At 44.5% G+C, this 6,561-nt stretch overlaps 1 annotated feature.

Annotated features, from left to right (window-relative positions):
• Positions 1,132 to 1,632: an enhancer, noted in NCBI's record as "H3K4me1 hESC enhancer chr3:138875938-138876438 (GRCh37/hg19 assembly coordinates)". NCBI's record gives its function as "activates a minimal SCP1, AML or CMV promoter by ChIP-STARR-seq in primed H9 embryonic stem cells {active_cell/tissue: H9 hESC(primed)}" and the evidence as "EXISTENCE:reporter gene assay evidence [ECO:0000049][PMID:30033119]".

Below are 6,561 nucleotides of genomic sequence, written 5' to 3' on the forward strand. Positions count from 1 at the left end.
CATTGCACTCCAGCCTGGGCAACAAGAGCAAAACTCCATCTCAAAAAAAAAAAAAAAAGAAAAAAAAAAAGAATTTCTTTCTTCCATAGCAAATTAACCTTAGCTTACTATAACATTTTTGCTTTATAAAATTTTTAATTTTTTTTAACTTTTGGAGTCTTCTGTAATAACACTTAGCTTAAAACACAAATATATTGTATAACTGTACAAAATATTATCTTTATACCTTTATTCTATTAGCTTTTTCCATTTAAAAATTTTATTTTATTATTTAAAAAAATTTTTTTTAAAGACTAAAACACTAACACATGCATTAGGCTAGGCCTACACAGGGTCAGGATCATCAATATCACTGTCTTCCACCTTCACATCTTGTCCCACTAAAAGGCTTTCAGTGGAACACTTGGAGCTGTCGTCTCTGTGATAACAATGTCTTCTTTTGGAATTTTTCCTGAAGGAGTGTGAAGGAGTACACACTAAAATAAGGATATAAAGTATAGTATAGTAAATACATAAACCAACAGTTTATTATCATCAGTCATTTATTATCATTTTCAAGTATTATGTACTGTACATAATTGTATATGCTATATTTTTATACAACTGGCAGCACAGTAGGTTTGTTTATACCAGCCTCACCATAAACACATGAGTAATGTTTTGCACTGTGACATTATGATGGCTATGTCACTAGGCAATAAGAATTTTTCAGCTATTATCATCTTTTGGCGCCACCATTCTATATGCATTCCATCATTGACTGAAATGTCATTATGCAGCATATGACTATATTTGGTTGGCTGAGCCAGGTGGATTATAGGAAGTGAGAGGCTGAAGGGGGGACCAGGGGATTTTGAACACAATTGATCCCCACAACACCCCTTCAAGTTGGACATTGACATGCCTGTTTTATCGGTGAATTAACTGAGACTCCAAGAGGTTGTCACTTATCTGAGTTCACACAGTTAGTTTGTGGCTGAACCAGAATTAGAAACAAGATATAGGTCTGTCCTGCTAAATGATACAACCCCCGCTCCGACCCCCGAAGCCTTCATTCACAAACACTCTACTCTTTGCCAGTAGCACATTGATGATTGCCAGAAATGCTATGGCTTGAATGGACTCATCTCCTGCTGTTGGAGTCTGACAGTGAGGTAGTTGTCTGTAGTGTTTGGGCTCTGCAGAGGCTCTGCCAGCTCTCTTCTGCCAGGTCTGTGCTGGCTTCAGCTTCTGGTGTATGGCAGGGAGATCGCTCCACCTCCTTTCTCCTATTTCTGATGTTGAAGCATCTTCCAATGCCTGTAGAGCCCCCGATTTACAGCATCTCTTGTTTTGGAGATTCAACCCAGGCCACGTGTTTATAAATAGCTTCATGGCAGGTGGCGCCCTGCTGGCTGGTGGGGCCTGCCTGGAGAGGATTATACCTGTACTTTCAACAGTGGCTTCCTTGCCCAGCAAAGCCCTCCACACAAACCCCTGCCCCTTGGCCCTTCTGTTTGTTTTGCTTTGCACTGACCTGAAATGGATACCTTCACGGGTCCCTGCAGCGGGGCAGACAGTGGTTGGGACATGTAGGGACAATGGTTGTGCCCACCTGCAGGTCAAGGGTCAGGCTCAGCAGGGCAGCCCTGTCAGTTCTTCAAAAGCAGGGACCTCAGCCCTCCTGGGCTTTGCCCATGGATCAGTGACCAGCTGGCCTGCAGGTGCGCCCAGCTATTGATGTCTCCATGACCAGGATGGGGGTGGTGCTGGGCTATGTGTGGGTGGCTTACCTGGGGATTACAGTACAGCCACAGGTGTCTACTCAATGCCAAGGAAGAAAGGCTGGGCCGGGGCCTCACATGCGCAGAGTAGGGTGGGGGAGCAGGCAGGGGCACCCAAGAAAGAACATCCGCTCATCAGCTGTTCCTTGGCTAAATTTCATGGGACCACTTGCTAATTCTTGGCCATGTTTTGAAAAGAACTTCTCGAAGATTACAAATTTGAATATATTCTTTTTATATCCCAATACAAAATGAATTCTATTAGATTATAGTTAAATAAGTCAGTGCTCACCAAATGGTTCTTTTAGAAAAAGTGAAAGGAGGGCGTTGGAAGAGCTGTGTGTGTGTGTGTGTGTGTGTGTGTGTGTGTGTGTGTTTATGTGTATGTGTATTAGGTGGGGCTTGTGCTGAACAAAAATCCAACGTAGAAGGCCAATGGAGGGGCACTTTATCTATGAATTTACACAAGAAACATTCACTGCACCCCTACTACATGCCAGGATCACAGGAGTACAGAGAGCTTGCTATTTATTCATTCATTCTGCCAGTGGATCAACTAACCAACCAACCAACCAAACAACACTTCCTGAGTGACTATTATGTCCCATATTCTGAACTGGGCACTAAATAAGTAAAAAAAAAAAACCCACAAAAAAAACCCCCAAAACCAGACAGTTCCAGCCCTTCCTTCAAAGTCTCTCAGTCCTGTGGTTGAGACAGAAATATAAACGTAATTGTAAGTGGCTATAAAACAGCTTTATTAAGCCATAACAGGGTGCCTGGGGAGGGGTGCCATGGAGTAAATTGTAATTGAAGTAGGTCTTAATGGGTTGCAGAGGAGTTTTCTGGGGGCACAGGGGGAGAAGGGAGCTCTAGGCAGACGTGTAAAGACAAGGGCATTTGGGGAGCTGCATACTGGTGGACAAAGTGAGAAGGGTCTCAGAGCAATGATGCAGCTGGAGGGTGAGGTTGGGAACATGGTCTGGGGCTGACTGTGTAGGGTTTGGTAAGCAGCTGTGCTAAAGTGTTTGGACTTTATCTGGAGGACAAGTGACAGCAGGGCTGGGTTTTAAGCACAGAAGCGACCTAAGAAGATTTGAATGTGGAAGGCTTACTTGGGCAGAGGCAGGGAGGAGGGTCTGGAGGGGACCTGACTGCAAGGGACTGAGAATCATTGGGTGGTTTTAATACTAGAGGATGGAAAGCAGAAGTTCCCTAGAAATGGCCTGTTTCTAGACCCCTGGCTGAGGAGAGGTGGCAACACGACGGCCCATCAAGGTAATGAGAGGCAGACTTTGAAGGTGCAGGTTAAGGCTGTGTGGCTGTGTCCTGGGGTAGGCAGGCCCTGATGAGGGTAAGTGTGTCTGCAGCTGGCAAAGTCTGTGGAGCATGAGTGGGTGACTCTGGACCCTTGAGCAAGCCCCAGCTGAGCCTGCTTCCTAGCATCCAGGCAGGACAGGAGGTATTGCCTAACTTTGGGGTCTCCAGAGGCTTGAGAAGCCCATGCCTCAGGAGGACCAGCCCATCCAGTCTGCCATTTGTTTCATTCAGTGAACATTAATTGAACACCTACTATATGCCAGATCCTTTTCTAGACACTGGGATCATGGGACAAGCAAGATGAACAGGTTTTCCACCCTCATGGACGGGCACTCTAGGAGGAAATTCAGATAATTAAAAGAGTGATAGTGCTGATGCTAATGCTAACACTTCAGTGCTTACTATGAGCCAGGCACAGTTCTAAATACTTTATAAGAATTAACTTACTTAAGCCTCATATTTAACCCTTTGAGGTACGTACTATTATTATACCCATTTTACAGATGAAATAACTAAGGCACAGAGTAACTCTTCCATGTTCAAGCAGCTTTTAGGTTACAAGAGCTAAGATTTGAATGCAAACGTGTCCTGTGCCAGAGTTTGTGGTCTTAACTGTCATATAACATTACCATTTCCTTGGGAATGGCTCCAGTATGAACCTCTCCAGGGTGCTTCAATAGCTTTAAGCTAATGCAAATTCCTTAGCCTGCCCCCTAGGCCCTCTGTGATCCAGAGGGAAGCCTCAACCCCACTCTGCTCCTCTTCGCTGTCTGCCCACCACCATTCTCTTCATGGCTCCCTACGCCTGCCATGCTGTCCCACACTGCCCTGCCTTTGTCCATACTTTTCTCTTGGGAGGGAGTAAGAGGCAAGTGGGTTCACTTTTCCAGGCCCAGCTCAAATGTCCTATCCCTTGAGGAAGCCCAGCTGACCTCTGCAGGCAAAGTGATTCATTCCCTGAGCACCAGTGGTGTTGGTTCATCCCTTGATTAAAGCCCATTCTTACAGACATTATACAGACTTGCCTGTGCTTCTGTCTTCCCACTAAACTGTCAGTTTTTTGGAGGCGAGACAGAGTCTAACTTATCTCCATCCTGCACAGGTTTAAGTAAGGTGCCAAGCAGCACATAATACCAAATACTAATTGCAGATTTAAATCAAACAACCAGCGATTTTCCTGAGTACCTACCATGTGCTCAGAAGGAATGACCACCCTATCTTCATAGACTTTATGCATATTAAATAACGGATTAATTCTGCCACCTATTCCACTAAAGACTGTGGTGGATCAGCTCCTTGGGGAAAGGAAGTATGTCTATCTTAGAGATAAGGCAACTAAGGCAGAGAAAACAAGTAATTTTCTCATGTTCACACAACTTATCTTCTTCACTTTTGAAGCATGTCTTGCTCCAAGGTGGCTAGCAGGTATTTGGCATACAGTAGGTACTAAAAAAAAAAAAAAAAAAAAAAAAAAAAAGAGGTAGAGAGGATAAATGAATCTACTTAAAAAGATAATTTAAAATATCTTTGGCGGATACTTGGAAAAAATATCTAAATTAAGTTGGAAAATGAGTCCAAAAATTCCAAAGTAAGTTGGAAAGCTCACTTTGGCAGAAGTCTGGAGGATAGAATGATAGAATGGGTGGGGCCACAAAATGCAAAGGGATTGGGATTACTGGCTTGTTTGAACTCCAGATAACAGAACAGTGAAGGTTTTCCTTGATAGAAGACAGGGCCATGGCTTTGGGAGGACTGAAGAGGTAACGGGGGCTTCCCGGGAAGTTCCTCAGGTGGGCTCTGATGTTAGGTTGAGAAAAGGCAGGAAGGATGCTCAAAACCCTCCCAGCTCTGGCTGGGCCATGCACCCAGATTCTCTTTCCTCTGTTCCCTGAGGGTAGCAGACATGTTTTTGTGCCACACCCAAATCCCTTGGGCCTTTTCATCTCAATGTACTCCAGCTGATTTTCAACTCCCGCTTACTCAGGAGAACAACAGACAAGATCTAGGAATAGCAACAAGGCTGGCAGGAGAGAAAGTGGAAACAGATACTGTCCAGGCTAGCAGGGGCCATATACCTTGTAGATCAAGAGTAGGGCTTTGAGTTTTACTCTGAGATGGAAATGCGGGAGGGGGGTGTGAGCAGAGAGGAGTGATTGATGGGATTATGTGCTGCTGTGTGGATTCACACTGTAGCAGTCAATGGTGGAAGTGAGGACACCTGGTAGTGGGGTGGGGCGGGGGCTTTGTTGTGATTCAGGTGAGAAGGCTTGGTGCTTGGGCCAGTGTGGAGTGATTGAGGTGATGAGAAAAGTGGTTACAGTCTGGATGAATTTAGAAGAGAGCCCACAGGATTGAATGATTCCAAGGTTTTGGGCTTGAACAAGTGAAAGAATGAAGAGGTCATTAACTAAAATGAAAAGACAATGGAAACCACAGGTTTAGGGCTACTTTGGACATGTTAAATTTGAGATGCCAGTCACCAAATCCTGACAACTTCCTGCTAGGCATTATTACCTACTTTTAACCAACAAGGAACCTGGAATCCATGGAAGAGAAGCTGCTTCCCTGAAGTTACACAGCTAGGGAGTGGTGGGGATGGGACGTTTTACGCCTGCTTCATGCCAAAGCCCCTGCACCAGCTACTATGTTTTTCCTATCTTGTGGGAAGCTGGCTTTCCTCATGTTTGTCCTAAACTTCCTTCCCTCTCTCAAGCCACTTCTCCTACTCCCAGAGCCCCCACATTACGGACAGCCCCCTTCTTACAGTACTACTTTTAGTCTCACCCATTCCTCAGTGGCTTTACCCATCATAACTGTGAGTTTGAGACTCCATGGTGGAGAGTCATTTCTGTTATTTTATGTGCCTATGGTTGTTTTGTCTGTTTTTCTCCAACTTATTATTGGTCATGGATTTCTTGTCTTTGGTTCCTGGTTTTAGCTCAAGAACCCACTATAATGTTAATATCGTTCCTCGGGGAAAGGCCATTTTAACTTCACTAGTCTGTTTTTAACCAGTTTCCAGGAATGCCCCATGGACAAATGAAGGGCATAGGGGAAGAGGTGTCAAGCCTGTATGCCCCTTTGCCACCTGTTGGCCTCTGCAGAGACTTGATTCTCCCTCTATCTCTGTATAAAAGGGCTCAGCTATTCTGTCTGGATCTAGAGGCTTTCAAGTCTAAATGTCTTAGTGATGGGAAACAGAAAAAGTGTTAAATGGCTCACCTGCTAGTACTCAATGATAGTTACAGAAATCCTCCTGTGTGTGGCTATTAGATGGATTGCTGAGTTGATGAGAGGAGGAACTCTGGGACCTGTGCCTCTGGGAAAGCAGAATCTTTCAGAAGACTGGAAGAGAAAATCTGAAGGCAGCAAATCTCAGGTGTGTAAACTAAAAGGTATCTGAGACAGGTCTCAATCAATTTAGAAAGTTTATTTTGCCAAAGTTAAGAACATGCTCATGACACAGTCTCAGGAGGTC

This window comes from Homo sapiens, chromosome 3, assembly GCF_000001405.40.
Source record: "Homo sapiens chromosome 3, GRCh38.p14 Primary Assembly".
NCBI classification, from domain to species: domain Eukaryota; kingdom Metazoa; phylum Chordata; class Mammalia; order Primates; family Hominidae; genus Homo; species Homo sapiens.